At 47.9% G+C, this 25,713-nt stretch overlaps 1 protein-coding gene across 13 annotated transcripts, besides 2 other annotated features; it reads right to left on the bottom strand.

Annotated features, from left to right (window-relative positions):
* Positions 1-893: 893 nt before the first annotated feature.
* On the bottom strand, positions 894-19,070 carry DELE1 (DAP3 binding cell death enhancer 1). 13 transcript variants are annotated; one of them, XR_427783.3, is made up of 14 exons: positions 18,969-19,070; positions 18,246-18,360; positions 17,414-17,531; positions 14,643-14,790; positions 13,201-13,359; positions 12,867-12,952; positions 12,667-12,763; positions 9,540-9,682; positions 8,543-8,701; positions 8,355-8,447; positions 5,584-5,743; positions 4,181-4,420; positions 4,037-4,089; positions 894-3,387 (listed from the first exon to the last, which is right to left on the bottom strand). XR_427783.3 is itself a non-coding variant. In NM_001142603.3 (13 exons), the coding sequence occupies exons 1-12, from the start codon at positions 18,997-18,999 to the stop codon at positions 4,182-4,184; spliced, it is 1,548 nt and encodes a 515-aa protein (NP_001136075.1). In that variant the 5' UTR covers positions 19,000-19,070; the 3' UTR covers positions 894-3,387; position 4,181. The 13 variants fall into 13 exon arrangements, 7 of the variants coding, with proteins under 7 accessions (NP_001136075.1, NP_055588.3, XP_005268609.1 ...); XR_001742388.2 differs by having other exon boundaries at positions 4,037-4,420; XR_007058666.1 differs by lacking the exon at positions 5,584-5,743.
* Positions 13,120-13,620: an enhancer, noted in NCBI's record as "H3K4me1 hESC enhancer chr5:141308886-141309386 (GRCh37/hg19 assembly coordinates)". NCBI's record gives its function as "activates a minimal SCP1, AML or CMV promoter by ChIP-STARR-seq in naive H9 embryonic stem cells {active_cell/tissue: H9 hESC(naive)}" and the evidence as "EXISTENCE:reporter gene assay evidence [ECO:0000049][PMID:30033119]".
* Positions 18,676-19,189: an enhancer, noted in NCBI's record as "H3K27ac hESC enhancer chr5:141303317-141303830 (GRCh37/hg19 assembly coordinates)". NCBI's record gives its function as "activates a minimal SCP1, AML or CMV promoter by ChIP-STARR-seq in naive H9 embryonic stem cells {active_cell/tissue: H9 hESC(naive)}" and the evidence as "EXISTENCE:reporter gene assay evidence [ECO:0000049][PMID:30033119]".

The following is a 25,713-nucleotide window of genomic DNA, read 5'->3' as shown; positions in this document are numbered from 1 at the left end:
ACGTCTTTGGTTAGACTTCAGGATCTATGAACCTACTGAACTACATGCAAAATTGGGAGGATATGCATTTTTTCTATGGAAAGAAGTAGGTGCTTAGATCAGATTCTCAAAGAGATTTCGGGCCCAATTAAGATTAGAAAGCACTACAATCCTCTAGGTCAGCCCTCAGCCCTGCCTTCCCTGCAGAACCTGGAGAACTCCTGCGTAGAGCTGCTCCTGTTCTGAACTTTGATCAGAATGGGGGTGTATGTACGTGAGGGACAGTGTTCTCTCCTGCACCATGTGTCCCCTCCTGATGAGCTGATACCAGCACCTTTCCCAATAACAGCTCAGAGTGAGACCGTGTCTATGGTAACAGAACTGGGTGTGTTGAACAGGAAGGTTACAGAAATTTCTTGACATCAGCCAAGATGTCAAAGCTGAGACTTTGGACACGCTCAAAACAGTTTCCACCAAGATGGGCTCTGTCCCCTGGGAGACTGAGGGAGCAGGCGAGCCAGCAAGCACTGTTACATGTCGTCCTAATTTGGAAAGCATAGAGGGACATTTTTTAAATCAATAGTCAGCCGTTCTCCAGCACCAGGAGTGCAATGCAGTGCTCACTCAGAGCCTGGAGGCAGCTCAGAGATTGACAGGCAGCTGCCTTGTCTGTCACCCAACTTCAGTTTGGCAGCTCACTGACGCTGCCTCTTCTCTGGCTGAAATAAGAGTGATGTGGCAACCACTACCTTTGAAACTCTGGAGAGAACCAAATCCCAAAAAAGAGAGGACAGGAGGAAGGAGAGGCTTGGCCTGGCACATAGTGTGTACCTAGAAAATAGATAAGCATTTTCTAGCTCCTACTAAATTTTGGGTACAACGTGGGAGGAGTAGGACATGATCAGAAACACTCATGCAACAAACATTTTGTGTTTATTGAATAATTACTAAGTGCCAGAAGTAGCACAGGAAACCGTGTGTGTGTGTGTGCGTGTGTGCGTGTGTATAGGCGGCGAGTGGGGGGCAATACAGAATTATTCATTCAAGTTATTTAAAATTATTCATTCAAATTACTTAAAGTACCTACTATGTGCTGGGTAGGCTTGGTGCTGGGCATTGGGTGGGGGGAGTTGAGTATAATCACTCACTTATTTGTTGAATGTATATTTACTGAACATCTGAGTGCCCCACACTATATTAGCACTAATGATATAGTAAACCAAATAGCCTTGTTCCCATCATAGTGTCAGGACTCCCTGAAAACAGCATCTCCGGATAGGGAAACTGAGGCAGTAGAGCTTCCCACAAAGGTCTCATTGGTGAGGGCGCCGGGCTTTAACCCAGCATCCTGACCCAGGCTGGCCCTGCTGATGGGAGCCACCTCCCTCTCGTCCTCTCACACTTCCTCTGGGGCACTGATGATGAGTCATTAATAACAGAATTTTAATGGCAAAAGCACAGCAGTACCCAGCTCTGCCAGTGAAGCCCATCCCCCTGGGGCTGGATCAAGACCGCAGTGACTGAACAGCCAAGGATTTTTGGTCCCTTGACAACACCTTTCTCACGACTCTGCCATCCTTCCCTTTCCACAGGAGAGGCCCTTCCTTTTTAAATTGGAGAGCTTAAAAATATCCTACCCCCAACCTTTGGCACCCCAAATTGAATCAGTACTTAGCTCAGTAGTGACTGAGTGGGAGGGAGAGCCACTCAGGGAGGGCTGCATCTGGCCTTCACCACAGGACGCCCAGTGGCCAGACTGTGAACCAGCCCTCGGCCCCAGCTATGGCTAGAAGGAAGTAGTCAGAAAATCCAAAATGACCACAGAGGGGAGGAGGCTGGGGAGTGGGGCTCCACAGGGAGGGCACACGGTGACATTTCACGCAGAGGGTGCCCCAGGAAGGCTCAAAAGCAATCTGTAGGGAAACGGGCTCTGGGCTCAATTCAGTGAGAGAAAACATTGGGTTAACCAAGTTCTTTACTGGAGGACTTCTTGGAACCTCAAATATGCTGATGTGTATTGTGAATCTATAAAAAGGGGACGTCTGGTGCAGCATTTCCCAAACTTATTTAACCACAGAAACCTTTTTTTGTTTGTTTTTTGGCAGAGAGCTTAGTGCACTGCACAGCTTAAAACCCTGAGCTTGAAACCTCAGGTTTCCTACCCTGCATGGGGCCTTGCACTCAGTGCTGGGGACACTGGAATACAAAGACAAGGACCCTGCTCCCAAGGAGTGCCATCTGTGGAAGGTGGCCATGTGCAGGGTCCAACAGTGGTGAGCCAGTGTGCAGGGCAGCCCTGAAAAGGAGGCAGGGAGCAGGCGAGGAGATGGAGCTAGAGGACGCTTGGGCTCCCCGGGTGAAAGAGAGGTGCTAGGAAAGTATGGCAGGACCACTAAGAAGTTGAGAGAGATGGGGTGGGAAGCAGAGAGGGAAACGTGGACAACTTTCCCCCCTCAAATCTTCTTGCCTTTGAATTGGCCAGGCTGGTTGGTCTCCACTCAGTCATGGGATTGTGGGGGGTGGGCGGTGGGCTCTCTATCCCTCCCAGACCCCACTCTCAACCACATCTATGCTATTCAACTTGGGCTAACATCCAGAAGCCAGGGAATAGCTATTCACAAATTCAGTAACTGGACTCATTAGCACTGACTCAGAAATCTTTTTTTTTCCTAAGTCTCTCTCCTGGAGAAGCTTTTAAGATCCTTTAAATTGGTTAGTGGAGAGTTTAGAGATGAGGACGGAGCCTCAGCTTTCAGCTCCCCCTGCCCGTCTCCCTGGCTCTTCCCATAATACTCAAGGGCAAGAGTGATGAGATAATCCAATATCTGTTTTATTAAACACCTAGACATTTCTGGCACATGTTTCCCAAATGGGGACCTCAAAATCTATACTCTCCAGCTTTAAGACTCCTAGCATTCAATCTACATTTACTCTCCCATGGGTAGGACAGTCATAATGCTTTCACATAAAATTGCAGTATGAACTGATGGACAAGAACTCTGGGCCAGGAGTCAGGAGGCCCAGGTCCTCACCCTGGCCCAGCGACTCATAAAGTCATGCAACCATGAGCATCACTGCCTCCTGGGCCAAAGTGAGCACAAAGGTCCTCTCTGTGGTGAAATGCCCTTGCATTTGTCTTCTAAGGTAGGAGGGCAGACACCATTGCCTTTGGTCTACAACTGAGGAAACAATATAGGGAGTCAGGTCACAGCTTCAAGGTGACATGGCCAGGCAAGTGGCAGAGCCAGACCTGGGTCTTCACACACTTTCCTCTTCTTGACTGTACTGGCGCAGGTGCTTAAGATTTGGGGGAAGGTGGGTGGGTATCTGGCCTCTTCTTTGGGACTCAAATTGTGATATCTCTCTGAGAACCCACAGGCTCCCTCTTTAGGGCTGAGGTGAGAAGTTCTGAAAGTCAAGCAGACACATCCAGGCATTTGGGCAAGAAACTTCTTCCTTCCAAATCAAAGGTGAAATGAAAACGATTATGAGCCCACGGGGGATGAACAGAGGTGAATGGTGGGCTAGTCTCGAGGATGGCCTAATTCAGAGTTTCCTAAGTGTCAGCCATTCATGGAACCACCCCTGTGATTTTTGCTACCTCTCTGGATCTGTGCCCACTTTTACGTTATGTTTTTCTTTAAACTGATTCACTATTTTTTTTTACAGTTAGCTTTATCCTAGACAGAACATCTATCAAACTACAGGTCAATATGCTAATCATATTTTTATATTATACATTAAATATATAACTAAATAGAAAATATTAATTTGAATACCATCTAAAATCTTCTTGTGAACCAGGGATACACACATCAGACATTGGCAAACAGTAGTACAGATTTAAGTGTGAGAAAACCCAGGCATAAGAAGGAAGAAGGTAAGTTATTTGCTCAAAGACAAAGGCTAAGGTGAGCACCAGGGTCTCTGGACCCTTCAGTAGGGTTTTTCATAGGTCACTGAATGCATCCTTTGGTGCACAGACCAGAAATGACTGTGAATGCATCCAAGACTCATCTGTGAGGCTACCAAGCGGGGGGAAAGATCAGTCACTTACCAGCCATGTACGTGAAATTGCTTGGGAACCTGAACTCCCGCTGGAATTTCTACCTGGAAAGGGTTGCTGATGCTCTATTTTTGTTATCCAACCTCCTGCCCGCTCTGGCCCCTAAGAGGCACCAGGGACTATGTTTTATCTCACCTTAGCCAAAACCTAGTCTTACAACACTCCTTTCCAGTGGGTAGGGGTGTGGGGGAATAGCCCTGCTGGAGGCTTCCAGGCTGGCTCCGAGATGCCCACTTCTGCAGAGGAGGCCAAGGTTGCCTGTGCTCGAGGCATGTGGTAGGCGTGAGGTTCCTGCTAGCAGGGTGTTCAAGCTGCAGAGGGAGGGGCTGGAGAAAGACTTCAGTCCTGTAACTGTCAGGTCGCTGGGCCCCGGGGCTACAAGAAGAGGTGAGAGCAACTCTTACTCTTGCTGTATATTCTTGGACTCCTACTTTGGAGCCAGCACTTCTTCAAGGGCTTGGTTCCCCAGGCATTGTTAACTCCCAACCCCAGTGACTCATGAGTGAGCAGGGCTCTTAGAGCCCTAGAAGGGTAATTCAGGCAACCTTGGGATATTGTCTCTCCTACAAAATCATCAGAGCAGCTACCATTTGTTCAATACCTACTGTGCTGTCAGGCTGTGCTAAGTCCCTTAGTGTCATCTCATTTCATCCTTATGACAACTTAATGAGTTAGGTGCTACCATTACCTTCATTTTCAGAGGTGAAGAAACTGAGGCACTAAGCCATGGAGTCCAAGTTCAGTGATAGTGGGGGTTAAAACTCAGGTTTGACTGGGCGCGGTGGCTCACACTTGTAATCCCAGCACTTTGGGAGGCCGAGGCGGGTGGATCGCCTGAGGTCAGGAGTTCAAAACCAGCCTGGCCAACATGGTGAAACCCAGACTCTACTAAAAATACAAAAAATTAGCCAGGGATCGTGGTGGGTGCCTGTAATCCCAGCTACTTGAGAGGCTGAGGCAGGAGAATCGCTTGAACCCGGGAGGCAGAGGTTGCAGTGAGCCGAGATCGCGCTATTGCACTCCAGCCTGGGCAACGAGAGTGAAACATCATCTCAAAAAAAAACAAAAAAAACTCAGGTTTGTCTTGACTCCAAAAGCTGCATTCTTTTTTTTTTTTTTTTTTTTGAAACAGAATCTTGCTCTGTCACCCAGGCTGGAGTGCAATGGCGCGATCTCGGCTCACTGCAAGCTCTGCCTCCCGGGTTCACGCCATTCTCCTGCCTCAGCCTCCCGAGTAGCTGGGACCACAGGGTCCGCACCACGCCCAACTAATTTTTTTTTATATTTTTAATAGAGACGGGGTTTCACCGTGTTAGCCAGGAGGGTCTCGATCTCCTGACCTGGTGATCTGCCAGTCTCGGCCTCCCAAAGTGCTGGGATTACAGGCGTGAGCCACCGTGCCCATCCCAAAAGCTGCATTCTTAGCCACCACTGGGGTTGGAAATGACTAGGAGACCAGAGACTACTGCTACCTACTTATCTGTCACAGAGTACTGAGCTCAGGGAATGAACCTGTTGGCTTGGACTTGGGTCTGTACCTGCAGCCCCCATGGAAAAGAGGGCTCGCAGCCTCTCCTGGGCGGCCTCATTTCCCAGAGCGGCTGACTGCTGGTAACATCTCAAGGCCTCTCCCAGATTCCTCTGCACACCAAGGCCTTTCTCATAGCAAATTCCAAGGTGGTACCTGCTCTGTGAGTCCTAAGGAGAAAATGGACAGACAAACAGATACACACATGCAGGAATGAGGAACTGACATGCTAAGGGAGGAGGAAGATGAAGTCAGGCATGCTGGGACTTCATCCACACACGGTCAAGGCCCAGTCCTGGCCCGCCCCATAGCAAGGGATCTCAACTACGAAATGCCAGAGGCTCAGAGCTCACCCAACACAAAGGAGAGGGGGATCCCTCCACCCAGGGAGATTCCAGCCAGGGCAGTGTGGAGGCTTCTCTTGCATAGGCTGGCTGAAAGCATGCACAACGAAGGCTACAGGAAACACTCAGGCCAGTTATAGCAAACCTGGGAGTCGGGCTCCTATGTTGCCCTGAAACAGCAAGGAGGCGAAGGTGGAGGGTTGTCTTCCCAAAGGCCCTGTGCCTTCCTGAATCTCTGCCTGGGAGGGCTGACAGAAAAGGAAACTCTTCTCCTTTAAAAAGCTATGCTTGGCCTGGGCGCGGTGGCTCACACCTGTAATCCCAGCACTTTGGGAGGGCAAGGTGGGCAGATCACGAGGTCATGAGTTGGAGACCAGTCTGCCCAACATAGTGAAACCCCGTCTCTAAAAATACAAAAAAAATTAGGCAGGTGTGGTGGTGTGCACCTGTAACCCTAACTACTCAGAAGGCTGAGGCAGGAGAATCATGTGAACCCGGGAGGCGGAGGTTGCAGTGCGCTGAGATCGCGCCACTGCACTCCAGCCAGGGCGACAGTGTGAGACTCCGTCTCAAAAAAACAAAACAAAACAAAACAAAAAACGCTATGCTCTTTGCCCCAGCTCTGGATCCTCGATTGTCTCTCCTCTCTCTGAGAACTATGCTCCTGGGAGGAACAGGATCAGGTAGAGGCTGGGTGTCCAGCTGCATAGCCAGACTGTCTGCACTCCCATCACGGCTCTACCACTTACCAGCTGTGTTAACTCAGGCACGTGACTCTACCTCATGGTGCCTCAGTTTTCTTACCTATAAAGTGGGATGCTAATAGCACCTACCTTATTAGGTTGTTGCAAGGATTAAATACACTATATGAAAAGTGCTTACATTCACTACATGAATCATATTCACTCTCCCAATTAAAAAAACAAAACAAAACACTATTGACTCTCAACCATGGTCCAATTTCTCTTCTACCCTCCACAGTCAAACTTCTGGGAAGAGTTGTCTACACATTCTCCCCCTGCTTCTATAACACACAGGCCAAAAGTCTCTCCAACAAACATGACAGACTCATGCCTACAGACCACGTTACAACACAGCAGTGGACACACGTAAGGCCAAAACACCACCCCTGCAACACTGCTCAGTACAAACCCAGAAAGACACAATTCCCTGTGGGGTGGAAGTGTGTTGGGTCTGAGTCCCAATACAGCGTCATATAGCAGGTGACAGATATCCTTTTGTACATTTCTCCTGCTAGCACGCTGGTCTGATTAAAGCAGGCCAGCATGCCCAGTCTTGCCCTGCACATGGATGTGCAGACCTGCCCAACTTTGGAAGGCTCTGTGGGGCTCTTTCAAGGCAAGGCAGGTACAGCAGTGGATACCTGTTGGTGACATTGGTCCCCTTTTGACAGCTACTACAGATACTCTGGGCAACACAGAGTAGACAAGGAAAAGCATTCTGATGCCCAGGAGTTCAACGAAGCTATCAGTGTATTGGCCAGAAAACAAAGGAAGCAGCAGTCCCCTATGTAGGGAGATTACAGTTCACGCATATATTGCTTGATTTAATCCAAGACTCCTGGTCCTTCAAGATGCAACTCAAAAGATATACTGGTCAAATACACTTGAGGAATACAGCAAATTACAGATGGCCTTTTCAGTGATCTACAGTGACATAAAGCTTTGAGACTTCCTATATTAACTGTTTAACTCAGTATTTCCCAAACCCATCTAACCATTTTTTTCCTCTTATGACTTACAAGCATCCCAGAGAACTAATGCTTCATGGAACACATCTGAATTGTCTGAATGCCAATGACCCCAGTTCACAGACAACCAGACATCCCCACCCACCCCAAACTGAGCAGTGTTCCCTGTTTACTGTCTCCACTTGATGCGTCTTCTAATTTCCCTGGGTTACCATCACTTGTAATGATGTGTTTTTCATGTGTACAGGTTTCACAGCACTGTCACACCTGTTAGTTATCTCAGTTAGATTTTGATCCTCACAACCACCCTGTGAAGTACTGGACAGGTAAGGCAAGCATTATTATTCTGATTTTAAAGACGAGGAAACAGGTTTGAATCAAGAAGTGACCAGGCCCAGTAGTGTGCTGGTAAATGTTGAACAACTGGCTCTCGAGGAGGGAAAAAGCCCTGTTTTATGGCATTTAGCAATTTCTGTGGTGCAAATATTCCCACCATAGCAGATTTTAAGCTGCCAACAGCTCTCACAGCCTGGTGCAAGCCAGCTCTGGCGTACTACTGCAACTGCCCAACGGTCACACAGTAAGTCAGTGAGCGCTAAGGCTTGAAGCCAGGCCAAGGCTCCTATCCAACAATCTCCTAAGCACAGAAGAACTCAGTACCAGTTCCAAAATCCCTTCTCTTATCAGGCTTCATCCCCAACATGCTTGTCCACTGAGATCGCATACCCCATTGTTGGCTGCAAGCCAAAGATATTTCACAGCTCTCTGCTCATCCAGGTAGGGCTCCTTGGTGAAAAGCACCCCGAGGAAAGCTTGGGCCTGTGGTCAAGGAGGAAGGAAAAGAAGGCATCTTGGTCACTTTCAGGCTCCACAGGCCTCAGAGACCTTGAACAGACCCTGCCAATGGCACTCACCTCTCTCAAGCCTGAGTCTGCAGCCTGCTTCAGCAAGGACACTGCCCTCTGCCGCTCAGGGTTCCACGAAGAGGCTGGGTCTCGTAGTAGGCACCTGGCATAGCGGTACTGAGCCAGGCTGTGGCCCTGGCTGGCAGCCAACTGATAATAAAGGACCGCCTGGGGCAAAGGGAGAAACACCCAGTCGGCTGGCAACTCTGTAAGCATCTTTTGCACTCAGTGAAATTTTTAAAAATTATTTTAATTAACTAATACATAATAATTATAGACTAGTCAGAAAATTCAGATAAGCTAAAATTTAAAAATATAAACCAAAAATAGAAACATAAAATCCCAAGAAATTCAGCCTCCTAAAGATCATTCTTGCTTAAAATTTTAGCGTACAGCCTTGCAAATATCTTCTCACATATATGTGTTAGACATACTCACACACATACCTTTTAGACATCTACGCATTTGCACGCACATATGTGTGGGGGGGGGCAGAGAGAGAGAGAGACTTAGATCACTCTATACTACTTTATAACCTATTTTTTTAACTTTAATAGTACACCATGAATGTCTTTCCCTGACATACAGATCTAGCACATCATTTTAAGGCCCAAATAGATGTAATTAACCAGTTTTCCATTGAAGAAACTTTCAGGTTTTTTTGGGTTTTTTTGCCTTCACATACAACTCTACGAAATACATTCTTATATATAACCTCTTTGTGTTCTTATCCCACTTTTTAAAAATTAATTAATCCATTCATCAAGATGCTATTCTAGGCTGAGGATGTAGTTGCAAAGAAGAAAGGCAAAATCCCTGCCCTCCCTGAATTTTGAGTCTAAATTCCTGGAAGTTAGGAGCTTCTTTCTTATTTTTCCTTCGCAGCTGGGCTAGAACCAAGTGGAGAAAAGAAGCCAAACTTTCCCCCATCCCTGCCCACTGCTCATTTCTAGACATCAATCTCAGCAGCCCAGCACAGAAGGCAGGCTTGGGGGCAGGGGAATACCTTGCTAATGTCCCTGGGGGTGCCTCTGCCATGCTCATGACACAAGCCCGCATTGTACTGCGCTTTGCTGTAGCCGCGGGCTGCAGCTTTCTGGAAGTAAGAAAAGGCTGCCGTGTGGTCGCCACTCTTCATGTTCTCTGTTCCTGTAAGAAGGCACAGGGCACAAACACAGCTTCCTCAGTGAACTTCCCCACACCCTCAGCCAGGTACCTACAGACTCCTCATCTGATCCTCCTCCCTTTCTTTTTTTGTGCCAGACACTTTACATATATATATATATATATATATATTTTTTTTTTTTTTTTTTGAGATGGAGTCTTGCTCTGTTGCCCAGGCTGGAATGCAGTGGCGCAATCTCAGCTCACTACAACCTCCACCTCCTGAGTTCAAACGATTCTCCTGCCTCAGCCTCCCAAGTAGCTGGGTTTACAGATGCCTGACCCCATGCCTGGCTAACTTTTGTATTTTTAGTAGAGATGGGGTTTCACCATGTTGGCCAGGCTTGTCTCAAACTCTTGATCTCAGGTGATCCACCTGCCTCGGCCTCCCAAAGTGTCGGGATTACAGGCGTGAGCCACTGTGCCTGGCCTTTGCATATATTTCTATCTTCTAAATATTTCACTGGTTTGCCATGGACAGCAGTGGGTTCTGCCCTACTATAAACCATTCCTCCTTCTCTTGGTAGTAGCATCTAGATTTCCCATTGGGAACAACACCTCCCCTAGTGCTGTCAATCAATGTGCTTGTGTTCTTCCTAACCACGGAGGTTCTTTCTCAGGAATCTGAACCTTGATCTGGTTGGGACAAGGAGAGAAAACAGCCCTTGTAGGTTTATTCTGACAGCAGCACTCTGAAGATACTATCAGCTGCTGCCTCTTAGGTCTCTGAAGCTTCCCTGATTCCTGTCCTTTCTGAGGCTTGGCAGGTCAATAGATCCCAATAGATTCCTTTTATGTTTAAGTTAGCCAGAGTGGGTTTAGGTTGCTCATAACCAACAAACCCTAACTGATACAAGTGATACTGTTAATCTTGTTTCATGAAGAAATTGGGAGCGGTAATACAGCAGTGTCAAGACCTGAATGCAGGCACATCCAACCCCAAAGTCCATGCTCTTTTCATTGCCCAAACAAAAAGGAAACAGGAAAGGATGAGGGCACGGCCAATTCTCAACTCAAGGCCTTTGCTTCAATTGTCTCTCCTGCCTGGGATCTTTCTTTCCGCCTCCACCATCAAAGCTCCCATCCTGTGTCTGCTCTAAACCTTCGGACCACACTCAGGCTTAAACACTTTTTTGGCACTTACTTAATATACCAAGCCTTTTTCTACAAACTAAACCGTTTCAAAAGTACAAGTCCTGTCTCCTCAATTAGACTGTAAAATCCTGGAGGCAGAAGCAGAAAAAGAATGTAGAAGAAATAATTTTGCCTAGGGTGAAGGCGCCATACAAATGCAAAACATGATTATGGCTTATGCTCCTTTCGCGTTCTGCCACCATGCCAAGCGCTTGCTGAATAAATGAATATATGAATGAAGGGATGGGCAAGTAAATTCTGAGAAGAGACTCTTTGCCCATCAAAATCACATAAAGCTCATGAGGGAGAAACCAGGTTCCATTCAGCCAGCAGTGAATTAAATAAAGTTGCCTCCTTGCTGCCTGAAAACTCACTGTCCAGGGTTGACAGAGCCCTCTGCCCTTGGGTAGAAGACTCAAGAGTGCAAAGGATCCCACCATCCTCCTCTTTCCCACCTGGCTCATTAATATAACCAGATCCATCTACTCTTCTTGCTCTCTTCTTTCTCTCATCTAGACCATGCCACTGACATGTTTTGTTCAGCCGTCACCAACAGCGCCTGCCTCGTCTCCTTTTTCCCCCCGGCAATCCTACAATCCATGTCTGTCTACATGGCAGCCAGAGAGATCTTTGGAAAAGTACATCAGATCATGTGGCTGCCCCCTTTCCTGCTCCTGCTTAAAGCCCTCCAAAGACTTCCTGTCTCACTTAGAAAATCCACACTCTTTACTGTGGCTCAGAAGACCTCACCTGATCTGACCCCTGCCTGCTTTTCTGGCTTTATCTCCTTCCGCCCTTCCCAAGATCTCTAAGCTCCAGCCACACTCACCTTTCTTTTGTTCCTCTAGCAATCAAAATCCAATCCTGCCTCAGGATTTTCGCGCTTACTGTTCCCGCCACTTGGAAAGCTCTTTCTCCAGATTGAAACAAAAGTGGCTGTCTTTGTGACAGGTCTTAGATCAAAGGTCTTCTGCTCAGTGAGGACTTCTAAATCAAAAACTGCTCCTTGCTCAAGTCACTAACACATTCCTTTATTTTCTTCATAACATCTATCAACATCTGAAATTCTCTTTTTGTTTCTCAATTATTGTTTTTCTGCTCCCTGAGAATAAGGACTTTGTCTTGTAAATCACTGTATCCCCAGTACCTAAAACAGGAACTGGCAAAAGGTAAATGCTCAACAAATTTGTTGTGAATGAATCCCAGCCTCTTGCCTATCTGCCCACTAGACCCCAATAGATGCTGTGGGGAGTCTGAGTCTCCGCATTAGAAGGCCTAAAATGAGCCAAGTTACTGCAAAGAACAGGGCAAATGGTGGAAGGGTATTTGGAGTCCCCACATGAGGGTTAAGAGGTTCCTGTTCACACATCGAGGATCTGCTCCAAACCCCAGGAGCCTGTTCTTTCCTAAGTGTGGCAGAGAATGCTACGTGCCCTCCAAGATTATTTTTTCCTTCATACACAGTAACTAGTCTCCTCTGTGGCGAGGTGTGGCCATGTGCCTATATTCTGGACAAGGATTTGTGCAACGTCTAGATTAAAGGGAAGGAGTGATCCTTTAGCTTCCCTACCTTGCCCCGACCAGCTGGCTAGAATACGGACAGGAGGGCAGGAGCTGGAATTGCCAAACTGCGCCTCAAGATGGGAGCCAGTTTTAAAAATGGCAGGACACATCTGCATAAGAATGGGTCCCTGCCATGCCAGATTTGGTCTACCTACCTGGGAGAAAATAAAATCTCTCGTTTAAGCCACTCCCTATCTTGACTATATCTGAGCTACCCCATACCCTTTCCATTTTCCCACCCTCCTGCCTTGGGGCAGGGTCCATTTGGTTACCCAGGAAGTTGAAAGCGATGGAAACACTGAGCTGGAAGAGCTGCTGAATGGAAGTCACAGCCTCCTCAAGGGAAAGAGTTTTTGATTTATCTTGTTCCTGGGAAAGAAATATAAAAGACTCACCAAGGGATGGTTTACCAGGATTGCCACCTGCCCAAGAGAATGTTATGGGGATCCAGGTGGCCAAATCTGGATAATACCTTTTCACCAGTGGGCTGAGGCTGGGCTGGTTTTGCCTCGGACTCGATGCTACTACTGGCATGCAGGAAGCCAAAATCACCGGGACCTGCAAGGGAAAGGCCGACACCCGGCCAGGGCAAAGGAGAAAGTTGTACTTCTTTTCTCCGACTCTCCCAGTCTACCCAGGCTTTCCAGCCAGCACCCTTGCCAGGAACCGAAATAACCCTGAATCACCTCACAAGGCATGGGACCTCACAGGAGTGCCAATTCCCTTCGCAGCAAACAACGTCCATCTTGCCCAGCTCACCACCACCGCCCCCTGCCTTCTGCTGATTCCATGAGGCAGGGACATACCTTCCTCAGAGGGGTCCTGAGGACGAGCTCCTCTCAAAGAGTTGTGTGAGAAGTTCCGGGGCTGAGCTGAGGCTTCTTCCTGGCCAAGCCTGGGTTCCCTGAGGCCAGTGTGCCTGGGAGCTGGGCCATCGGGGCTGGGGAGGATGTGTTGTCGCAGTGCTGGAAAGAGCCAGCAAGAGTAGTCAGGTCTGGGCCAGGCGCGATGGCTCACACCTATAATCACAGCACCTTGGGAGGCCGAGGCGGGTGGATCACCTGAGGTCAGGAGTTCAAGACCAGCCTGGCCAACATGGTGAAACCCCATCTGTACTAAAAATACAAAAAATTAGCGGGGTGCAGTGGCACATGCCTGTAATCCCAGCTACTCAGGAGGCTGAGGCAGGAAAATTGCTTGAACCCAGGAGGCGGAGGTTGCAGTGAGCCAAGATCACACCACTGCACTCCAGCCTGGGTGACAGAGCAAGACTGTGTCTCAAAAGAAAAAAAAAGAGTGATCAGGTCAGAAGAGGATCAGTGCAGGCTGCTCGGGCTTGACTGAGTCCTCCCTGAGGTTTTAGAGGCCATAGGAAGAATTTTGAAACTCCTGTGACACTTCCTTCACACTCCTCCTCCTCTGTTTCCTTGGCTTCCCTCCAGAGGAGTCTAGAGGGGCCTGTATTTGTGCTGATCTCCCACCCTAAGCATCAATCACTCCTCTGCCTAAATTCTTCAGTGGCAGGGAGGCATCTACCTTACTCACTGTTGTAGCCCCAGTACCTAGCACTTTCTTTGATAGCAATATTGCTAATGATTATCATCATAATAAGGACAAGAACTAATGCTTAAACTAATAATTACTACACACTTACTATGTGTCAGGCACTGCCCTAAGTCCTTGACATGTATTAACTCATTTAGTCCTCCCAAGAAACCTATGGGGTGGGTTTTATTATTACCCCAATTTATAGATAAAGAAACCGAGGCAGAAGGAAGTTAAAAGTGACTTGTTCAGGGACATAAGACTAGTATGCAGCAATTTTGGGACTTGAACCTCTATAATCTGACTCCAGAGCCTCAACCACTAGGCTATGTTGCTTCTGCACCATGGCACATAATAGGTGCTCAATAAAGATTCATTTATTTATGAATGACTGAGTGACTGACCAGAGAATAATTTAACTGGTTGAATGTGGGCCAGGAAGCCACACCCAGAATCTAAAGTAGTCTGGACCCTGTGGGCCTCCCTTGGTTGGAGGTGATGGGAGGAAATGGAAAGACACTGAGGGGCAGGTGTGGCCCATGCCCTGGGTGGATAGAACTTCCCCACATTCCTCTTCCTCTGACTTCAGATAGGAAAGGCAAGGAGCTGCTGATGGCTCTTTTCCTGAGGTGTGTCCAGAGACGCTTCCTGGCCCAGAGAAACGCCCAGCCCAGCCCTCCTGTCCCCAGGACTGAGAACTCACAGGAGCATGGGTGCCACAAGGGAGATGAGAAGAAACGGTCCAGGGGACTGTGCCAGGAGCAGTGTTCTACCCGCTGAGGTCCTGCTGGCAGGGATGCCTGGAAGTGGATCTGCCTTGCCAGCTGCAGGGCCAGCACGGCCAGAGTGCCCTGGGAAAGACAGCACGTTAAGGACACGGTCCTTCACCAATCAACTCCATCAGACCCGGCCTTATTCTCAAACATCACTTCCTCAGGAAATCCAGGTGGGGCAGCTCCCCGACTACAAACTTTCACAACACCCTAACTTCTCTGGAGCCCTGACCACACTGGCATTTAAACAATCATCTCTACATTTATTTATCTAAGGTCTGTCTCTCCTGTTAGTCTATAAGCACGACATGGGCAGGGACCATGTGTGTTTTACTCACCAATGTATCTCTGGTGCCCAAGTACAGCACAGTGCTAATATATAGTAGGGACCTAATAAGTACAACCTGAATAAATGCTTGATCAAGTGACTAAATAAGCGAAGACTAAGCAGGCAAAAAGATAATGGGGTAGGTTGGCACCTAGTTGCAAATATAGCAACAGGTCAGAGTTCCCCATTAGGCTCTCTTTCCAGTCTTGCACAACCCCTCCTTCCACCAACTCCCATTCCCCCAGTGAAGCCACCCCAGCACACACACATCTCCAGGTGTAAGCTTTGTAAAGGTGTTTCTTCTCTGACAGGTCTGCAGAAGACCTGAGCTAGCTCTTATCCCAGAGACTCCTTGGTTTTCCCTGTCTCCTGTCTCTCCTTATGTTATGCTTAAGAAGGTTGACCCAGGGTCGGGTGCAGTGGCTCATGCCTGTAATCCCAGCACTTGGGAGGCTGAGGCAGGTGGATCACTTGAGGCCAGGAGTTGAAGACCAGCCAACATGGAGAAACTCTGTTCCACTAAAAATACAAGAATTAGCCAGGCGTGGTGGGGCACACCTGTAATCCCAACTACTCGGAGGTTGAGGCATGAAAATTGCTTGAACCTGGGAGGCAGAGGTTGCAGTGAGCCAGGATCGCACCACTGCGCTCCAGCCTAAAAAAAACACACAGGTTGACCCAGATACTTACTTGTTGCTCCAGGCACTGCATACAATAGCAAGTAAGACAGACATAATTTCTGCCCTCATGAAGTTTATATCTTGTGTTTAGAAAGACAAAACACAACTACAGAGAGAAATAGAGTAATTACTAGTGATGTTAAATGCCAAGAAGGAAACTAATCAGAGAGTTACACAGAGCATAAAAGGGGTCCTGACAAGACAAGGAGTCAGGGAAAGCCTGTCTGTGGGGGTGACGTGTGGGCTAAGGCCAGAAGAAAAGGCACCAGCATTGTGAAGAACAGAGACAAGTATCCATGGTACTGAGGACAGCTTGCGTGCAGACCCTTTCATATGAGCAGTAGTGACAGAGCACAGGGATGGCATTGGGACTTCTGGAATCCAGGCCCACTTCCTACTTCTCACTATGGGACAGCCCTAGGGCTCAGATCTTCTTTGGCAACATGGGAAAATGCTCCTCTCTTCAGGGTATGATATGGCCTTAGTCCACAGCTCCCCATAGAGGGGTAACCCTGTCATGGAGACATCCCAGGCTCAGCTCTGCTGATGACACCAATTTACAGATGAGAAAGCCAAGGGTCACACAGGTCAAGTCATTTGTCCAAAGTACACAGCACGAAAGCAGCAGGGATGAGCTGTGACAAACATGAGAGTGATGTGTGTGTCAACTTCATTCAGAAGATCTTATAAGCAGAACTTCCACCTGGAACATTGCCTGAAAAGCGAAGACTCTGCCCTATGAGACCTAGTGTTCACTAGTAAGAATCTGACCTTATAGATCAGGTTCAACAAATATTTTTGAGCAACTATTACGGGCTAGGCTCTGTATTTGATGCAGCAACCAAGCAGTAGAACATGAACTCCAGAGTTAAATCTGGCTCCTCCACTTAACAGGTATGAGACCCTACGCATGTTACCTAATATTTCAGAGCCTGAGATTCCTCAGCTGTAAAATGAAGGTGATATTTCCCTTGTAAGATTTTTGTAAGGATTACACAAGATAATGCATGTATAATACTTTACATTAATAAATAATGCTATAAGGCCGGGCGCGGTGGCTCACAGCTGTAATCCCAGCACTTTGGGAGGCCGCGGTGGGTGGGTCACGAGATCAGGAGTTCGAGACCATCCTGGCCAAAATGGTGAAACCCCGTCTCTACTAAAAACACAAAAATTATCCAGGCGTGGTGGCACGTGCCTGTAATCCCAGCTACTTGGGAGGCTGAAGCAGGAGAATTGCTTGAACCCGGGAGACGGAGGTTGCAGTGAGCCAAGATCATGCCGCTGCACTTCAGCCTGGGCGACAGAGAAAGACTCTGTCTCAGAAAAAAATAATAATTTAAAAATAAAAAAAATGAATAATAAAAAAAAGATGCAATGTATTATTATTTATTGTAAGATCCATGAAGGCAAGAATGTATCTATCTTGTTCTCTGCTATGTCCGTAGTGACTAGCAAAAATGCCTGGCCCAGACAAGGTGTTACATAAATGTTTACTGAATTAAATGAGGAAAACATACATGGCGGGGGTGTGGAAAGTGGCAATATCTCCTTGAATATGCTCCAATACCATGGGTTACTTGTTAAATGGACACAGTGATTCCCTAGCCCTTGTTCCAGGTTCGGCTGTATACCCATGAAGGATCATTCTCATCTACACTGAAGGTCAAGGACCAGGCTGGGGAAGCCTTACCCAAGATATGGCATCCCATAGGGTGTTCGGGGAGACACGGGAAGACATCCATTGGAAGGCATCCTTCCATCCATGGGACCTTGGACCCCCGCTCGTGCCTGGGCCATGGGGACCTGACCTAGATGATGAAATAAGAGGCTATCAAGTAGGGGCAAAGGGAGACCAGGGACTGGGTGCGGTGGCTCACACCTGTAATCCCAACAATTTGGGAGGCTGAGGTGGGTGGATCACGAGGTCAGGAGTTCAAGACCAGCCTGGTCAAGATGGTGAAACCCCATCTCTACTAAAAATATAAAAATTGGCTGGGTACAGTGGCTCACACTGTAATCCCAGCACTTTGGGAGGCTGAGGCGGGCAGATCATGAGATCAGGAGATCAAGACCATCCTGGCTAACATGGTGAAACCCCGTCTCTACTAAAAATACAAAAAAAATTAGCCAGGCGTGATGGTGCATGCCTGAAATCCCAGCTACTTGGGAGGCTGAGGCAGCAGAATCGCTTGAACCCAGGAGGCGGAGGTTTCAGTGAGCCAAGATCGCGCCACTGCACTCCAGCCTGGGCGACAGAGCGAGACTCTGTCTCAAAAAAAATAAAATAAAATAAAAATTAGCAGGGTGTGGTGACGGGTGCCTGTAATCCCAGCTACTCGGGAGGCTGAGGCAGAGAACTGCTTGAACCTGGGAGGCGGAGGTTGCAGTGAGCTGAGATTGCCCCACTGCACTCCAGCCTGGGCGACAGAATGAGACTCCATCTCAAAAAACAACAAAAAAAAAAAAATAAAAAAAAAGGGTGACTAGGGGAGGAAATGAGTGGTAAAATGGCAGTATCTTACCTGTCGAGGTTAGGCACAGGAACCAGCAAAGTGGAGGAGGTAGTCTGAGGCCCATCTGGGCTGGTGGACTTAGGAGTCACCCTCCAGAGGCTAGGTCCCAGTGTACGGGGAAGAGCTGTACAGAACAACCAAAACTCAGGCACCTCAACAAGAACCCAGGAATCACTGTCATCTGCCTCAGCAGAGGTTCTTAAACATGGATACACATGGGAATCTTTTATCTACTACAGATTCTAGGGTAGTACCCCAGAACCAATAAACTAAGATTTCTCAGGGTAGAGCATCCACGTTTTTTAAAAGCGCCCATGTGATTCTGCTGGTCTCCTGTGGATGCCAACCACTGTTCTAAGATGACCAAACGTTCATACATATACTCTCACTAATGTTTGGGGCTCTTTGACTCTAAACCTCTCCTCTCTTCACTGGCTATGCCTACTCCATTGGCCCCTAATCCTCTTTCATTCATTCAGTCCACCATCTCCTGCCATTGGACTCCTCCCCCTCCCAACAGTCCTACCAACTTCTTGGACTCCACCCTCTTCTAGCTAGGCCCATCCACATCTCAAATTCCAGCAGCCCCTGACTTCCCCGCCCTCTTTCAAGCCCCGCCTTCCTTGGCTCTAACCCGGCCCACGATCGCTTCGGCTGTTTCCTCGGGCCCGCCCCCACTCCAGTTCGGTCTTTGCGGCCCAGAGTGACGCTGGTTGCTTGGACGTCCCTTACCTCGGCCCAGGAGTCCCGGGAGGCGCCACATGTCGCTGCCAGCACCACAGAGAGCTCGCAGCCGAAAGCGCGAGACCAACCCTTGGGACAGCGGCTAGAAAGGCCGCCGCGATGCCCCGAGTGGCCGAGTACCCGAGGAAGCTCTGAGCTGGCCAATTAGAAGGGAGCCCGGCCGGAAAGACGGCGCTGCAGAGAGGAAGTGCAGGGCGGAGGCGTATTCGGGGCCAGCGGGGCGGTGACGTGCGGCAAGGGCATGGGGATGTGGGCCCAGGCTTCCGTGGGGGATGTCCTTGGCGTTCCCAAGCCGAGGCAGGGGACCGCAGGTGGCGAAGCGAGCCACCCGGAAGCGGGACCTTCGGGAAGTGGGGCTGGAGCGGCTTCAGGGAAGTAAGAGGACCTTGCAGACCGTGAGGCCGCGAACCAGGAAAGGCTTCTCCAGGCCCTAGGCTTGAGGAAGTGGGAGTAACCAGGCTCCATGGGCGGAGGAGAGGACCCCCGGGGTCCCACAAATGAAGCCAGTAGGCCGGGCTTCCGTCCAAGGCCACCTGCCTGGAGATGCCAGGCCAGGGCCCGACTGCGTAGGCGATGAGAAACCGCACAGGGCAAGGCTTTGATTCTGGGTTCTAGCTCCGGTCCAGCTTTATCTCACTGTGCAGCTTCATGCCAACCCCTTACCTTGTCGGGGCCCCAATACGCGCCAGATAGGGTCAAATGGAATGACTGGCCTGACAAGCTGAGATTCTTGGGTAGCTCCTTTCAAAATACCTGAGACACCACCCGCGCCCTATTAGAACCCTCGTCTTCAGACGTGGCAAAAGTTATGTATGTGTTTGTTCTTTTGTGGAAAAGAATAGTTCCGTCTGGTCCCGGTGGCTCACGCCTGTAATCCCAGCACTCTGGGAGGCCGAGGCGGGCGGATCACCTGAGGTCAGGAGTTTGAGACCAGCCTGGCCAACATGGTGAAACCCTGTCTCTACTAAAAATACAAAAATCAGTTGCGCGTGGTGGTGGGCGCCTGTAATCCTAGCTACTCTGGAGGCTGAGGCAGGAGAATTGCTTGAACACGGGAGACGGGAGGTTGCAGTGAGCCGAGATCGCGCCTGGGCGACAGAGTGAGACTCCATCTCAAAAAAAAAAGGAAAAAAAAATAGTTCCTTTCACCACATTTGAATCCGTGAAATAACGGAGCTTACATTCAAGTATAAGATGTTTAGATTTCCTCCCTATCCCCTTCCTCCAGGTATGTGACTTTAAGGTGAGTGGAAGTTGCTACCTGGGGTAAAAGTGTACTGGGGGCACCTACTTTTAGACCGAGGCATGTGGCTTGAAAGTTGTATTAATATGTTAGACAACTTTTTTTTTTCTTTTGAGACGGATTCTCTGTCGCCCAGGCTGGAGTGCAATGGTGTGATCTCGGCTCACTGCAACCTCTGCCTCCCAGGTTCAAGCGATTCTCTTGCCTCAGCCTCCCAAGTAGCTGAGATTACAGGCGCCTGCTACCACATCCTGCTAATTTTTGTATTTTTAGTAGAGACAGGGTTTCACCATGTTGGCCAGGTTGGTCTCGAACTCCTGGACCTCAGGTGATCCTCCTGCCTTGGCCTTCCAAAGTGCTGGGATTACAGGCTTGAGCCACCGTGCCTGGCCGTTAAAGAACTTTTGAGCCATATATCAGCCCGTTCTAGGATCTGAGAAGACAGCTGAGGAAAGAGCATTTGTGGCCTCCAGGAACACGGTCCAGTGGATTAGTAGTGGGCTTTGGAGTCCCACAAATCTGGGTTGGAATCACAGCTTGCTTACTTCGTAGGTATGTTATCTTGTGCAGGTTCCTTAACCACACTAAGTCTCAAGAGCTTCATCCGTAAAATAGGGAAAATACCTCATGCAATTGTTGTGAGGTTTAAATAAAATAATATGTTAAAAATGTTTAACTTGGTGTTTTGGGAATACCCTTCAAAAAATAAAAAATAAATAAATAAAAATGTTTAGCATAGTTCCTGGCACATAGTAAAAGCCCAGTAAGTGTAAGTTGCTATTAATTATATTAGTAGGGGAGGTAAGCAGGCAAGTGTAATAGGTTAGGTTCCCATAGAAGCATGAACAATGGATTGTGGGATCCCTTGGAAGGCTTCAGAAAAGTAGTTGCATTTGAGCGGGGCCTTTAAATGTGAATAAGAGCTTGCCAGGTGGAGAAGGAAGAAAGGCATTGCAAGCGGAGGAAACAATAAATAAAGGCCCAGAAGTTTGAATGTTGGACAACTATTCAGAAATAGCCTTGCTTCGGGATTTGGGACGGCAACCTTTCACATTCCTTGTGTTGCTGTCCCGAAAATAAAGTAACAAACAAGTATGCTGGTTTGGCTGTGTTCTTCCTCCTGCGTCTTTTGTACCCTCCTTCCTTTCAGACTATCCATAGTTTGTGTCATTTCTCAAGGTTCAGCCCAATCCCAGCTCTTCAGTGTAGACTCCTCAACTGTTTGAGCCCTCCCTGCTCCCTACTTTTCCCAATTCCTATAGCACTTAATTTCTTACTACACAGTTTAGCAGTAATTATATGCTGTCTTGGTATTTATCTCATTTGTGTAACTCTAGCCTTCCCAGTTCTCTCCTTTCAGGACAGGAATAGCATTTCCCTATTCCGTGTCCCACATAGGGCTTGACATAAATTGTCAGCCCAAAGAATATGTCCAAACAATCCCTGTTGACAGAACATCTTGTACTAATGATTATTACAGCCAAGGGTACCAGACCCCAGCCAGGGGATTTACTGATTTGAGTGGAAATGTATTCATTGCAGATACAAACATTCATTGAGGGCCCTCCCTGTTTGAAGCTAGTTGAAAAGTTTTGAAGGAGAGACTAGGACATCTGCCCCCATGTATAGAATGGCATTATGGCATCTCTTGTCCCCATAAACAGAAACATCAGACCACTTGTGTGAGGGTAGATGGCGAGGGTGGCTGGAGCCCACAGCAGATCACCTGTTGAGTGCAGCTCACGGGAGTGCTGTTGGTTGAATGGCAGCTGCCTCAACTGCCAGACCCCAAACTCTGTGGTTTTGGATTGTGGCTCAGTCCCTCTACACAGTCCCTCAAGTTGACTCAATCCTCCACAAAGGTAAACTGACACTGGGAACCTATTGCCTGCTGTCCAGTTAATCACCTTTCATGATGACTACACATGCCATTGTGTACTTTGTGTACTGTCACTACAGTGAGTATTCTAGATACTTGTTGCCTTCATTTTTGTAGGCATTCTTAATTTGCATTAATCAAATATATGACAGCTTATTTAGTGCTAAAGGATATGCTAAGTATATAACAATTTTAAAACATGGATGTGGGCAGGGCGCAGTGCCTCACGCCTGTAATCCCAGCTCTTTGGGAGGCCGAGGTGGGTGGTTCACGAGGCCAGGAGTTCAAGACCAGCCTGGCCAACATGGTGAAACCCCATCTCTACTAAAAAAAATACAAAAAATTAGGCGTGGTGGTGCGCATCTGTAATCCCAGCCATTTGGGAGGCTGAGGCAGAAGAATCACTTGAACCCAGGAGGCAGAGGTTGCAGTAAGCTAAGATCGCACCATTGCACTCCAGCCTGGGCGACAGAGCAAGACTCTGTCTTGAGGAAAAATTAAAACAAAACAAAACAAAACATGGATGTGGTCCTTGCCCTCACAGAAAATAGCCTAGGAGTGCAAACAAAGTCAGTAAGCAATTAAAATACAGAGTGGTGTTTTAGTTACTTATTGCAGCATAACAAACACCCCAAAATTGAGTGGCTTAAAACAATCATTATCTCTCACAGTTCTGCAAATTGACTGGGCTCAGCTGGGCAATTCTGCTGGTCTCACTTGGGGTCTCTCATGAGGTTGTAGTCAGATGGCAGTCATATGAAGACTCAAGTAGGGCATTGGAAAGGCTGGGCCTCTTTCTCCATGTAGTCTCAGGTCCCCTCTGCGCCACATGACCTCTCCAGCTGTGTCGCTGAACTTCTTACACAGTGGCTCAGAGCTTCCAAAAGTACACAAGTGGAAGCTGGCAGGAACTGGCATAGCATCACTTCTGCACTCTGTTGGTTAAAGCAACTCACAGGGTCAGCCCAGAATCAGTGTGGGAGGGGAAAACATAAGGTCACAAATACTGGGAAGTAGACTTTGGAGACAAGCAAGTGCTGTTGTGAAGAAAGTACAGAGTGCTATGGGAACACCCAGGGAAGGCCCATAACCTAGGCATGGAAGTCAGGAAGACTTCCTGGAAGCAGTGATGCTAAATTAACCTGAATGATGAGGCCTGGAAACTAACCAGGTGAAGAAGAGGAAAAGAAACCCAGTTCAGGCAGGGGACACAGCTGACTGATACAAAGTTCCAGAAAGGCAAAGAAAGCACAGTTTAAGATCACTGTAGCTGGAGCCGGGAGGGAGGCATGGAGTCATGGCGATGGGGTGGTGATAGGCCTTTAGTCTGGAGAGGTAAATAGCGCAAGGTCATAACGCCTTGTAAGCCCGTAAAACATTTGGACTCTGTCCTGAAGGCACGAGACATCTAGGAAGGGTTTTGGCAAGGGAGTGACCAGGCCAGAGGGATCCAAGAAAGGCTATTGGCTGCTGTATTAGTGGGGGTCAAGCCCTCATTTTCACCCTGTGCCTTCTAGGCCAGTGACCTCACCTTCAGCCCTGAGAAAGCTGAGTCATCACCTCAGCACTGATACTAGTACTAGCTCCTCTTGCTTTTGCTTTTTATTAGTGGGGATTTTGTTTTTATTTATTTTTTATTTTTTGAGATGGAGTCTTGCTCTGTCGCCCAGGCTTGAGTGCAGTGGTGCAATCTTGGCTCATGGCAACCTCCGCTTCCTGGGTTCAAGCAATTCTCCTGCCTCAGCCTCCTGAGTAGTTGGGATCACACACCCAGCTAATTTTTGTGTTTTTAGTAGAGACGGAGTTTTGCCATGTTGGCCAGGCTGTTCTCGAACTCCTGACCTCAGGAGAGGAGGTCTGACCAAAGTGCTGAGATTATGGGTGTGAGCCACCACACCTGGCTGGGATTTTTCTTATAAAACTGCAAATGCCTTTATACAAATATTTTTGTTTTAATTGCTTTTTAAAGAACATATCATAGAAAACCTACCTGGTAGGGATCTGGACATGGGGTTGGTCAGGGGTCAATTTATTTTATTTTATTTTATTTTATTTTTTGAGTTGGAGTTTCGCTCTTGTTGCCCAGGCTGGAGTGCAATGGCACGATCTCGGCTCACCGCAACCTCCGCCTCCCGGGTTCTAGGGATTCTCTTGCCTCAGCCTTCCAGGTAGCTGGGATTACAGGCATGCGCCACCACACCCAGCTAATTTTTGTATTTTTAGTAGAGACGGGGTTTCACCACGTTGGTCAGGCTGGTCTCGAACTCCCGACCTTAGATGATCCGCCTGCCTCGGCCTCCCAAATTGCTGGGATTACACGTGTGAGCCACCACACCCGGCCAGGGGTCGATTTATACTTAAGTGTGACGTATATTAAGGAAGAGCCCACTGGCAGGGAGCATAGAGCAAGCCAAGCTCAGTGGATTTGACCCCTCAGATAAATAATGGTCGTTGAAAAGCTCCTACTCTAGTAAAAAGTCAAATAATACTAAAGGCTTATATCAAAAGACAGCAGACCTCTGCCACACGCTCTCTACCCTCTAATCCTACTCTCTAGAGGCAACTCTGTAAAGTGTCAGAAAGCAGCACAGGAGAGCAGGGCTTCTAGAATTGAATTGTCTAGCATCCAACACAACTGTCTCCCTTAGCAGCTGGGTTATCTTGGTCAAGTTCATTATAATATCTTTTCCCTTAGTTTCTTCATCTGTATGATGGGAATGATAATGGTATTCTTCTTATGAGATGACACAGTTAAACTGCTGGGCACACGGTCTATAAATGGTGGCTGTATTTGATGATGATGAAGAAGAATCTAACTTAAGAGCAGCTGTGAGTACACCTAGAGGTTAGCTGCACACTAAACAAATAAATGTAAGGCGTGTTTATGATTTGGCGGAAATGACAAGAACACAGTCTCAGTTGGAAAGGTCTGTCTCTTCCCTTTGTTCTAAGGCTAAACTCTGTTCTCAGTCCCATTCCCTTCCTGTCCCTTTTAGAACCTTGTCTCTATAATTATCCCGACCCTCATGCCAAAGCATACATCTTTCTCCTACCTTTTTCCTTTCCGCCTGTGAAATATACACAGGCCTTTCCAATCTTGGGGGAAAAATTCTTTACTTGATCCTCCTGCCCTTTTCAGCTACCATTCTGTTTCTTTCTCCCTACTGCCAGATTTCTTAATTAAGTAATAACACACATGCTACCTTCCATTTCTGCATGACTCCTGCACTTTTCAGCCTTGTCTCCCAGCTTCCATCCCTTTTCTTCTGACACAGGGATCACTAGGGTCATCAAAGACCACCTCATTAACCACCAGTGGACCTTTGCTCCATCAGACACCTTGAGCCAGAGCACTTGACTCAGTTGACCATCCACTCCTTAAACGTCACACGCAAAACCTCATCATCTGCTTCCATTTTTCTGCTATTGTGTAGTTTCCCCAAGCCACCCAGGAAAGGAATCTTGAATTCATTGTTGGCTCAACGCTTCCTTCTCTGCCCTCCCCAATACTAGTTTTCTGTTTTCTTTTTTTCCTCTGGTTCAGGTTTTCCCATGACCCCACACTAGTTTTGACTCTTACTTCAAATATTAGAAACTCACTGAAGCTAGCT

Source organism: Homo sapiens, chromosome 5 (assembly GCF_000001405.40).
Source record: "Homo sapiens chromosome 5, GRCh38.p14 Primary Assembly".
Taxonomy (NCBI): domain Eukaryota; kingdom Metazoa; phylum Chordata; class Mammalia; order Primates; family Hominidae; genus Homo; species Homo sapiens.
This window is presented reverse-complemented; position numbering and strand designations above follow the sequence as displayed.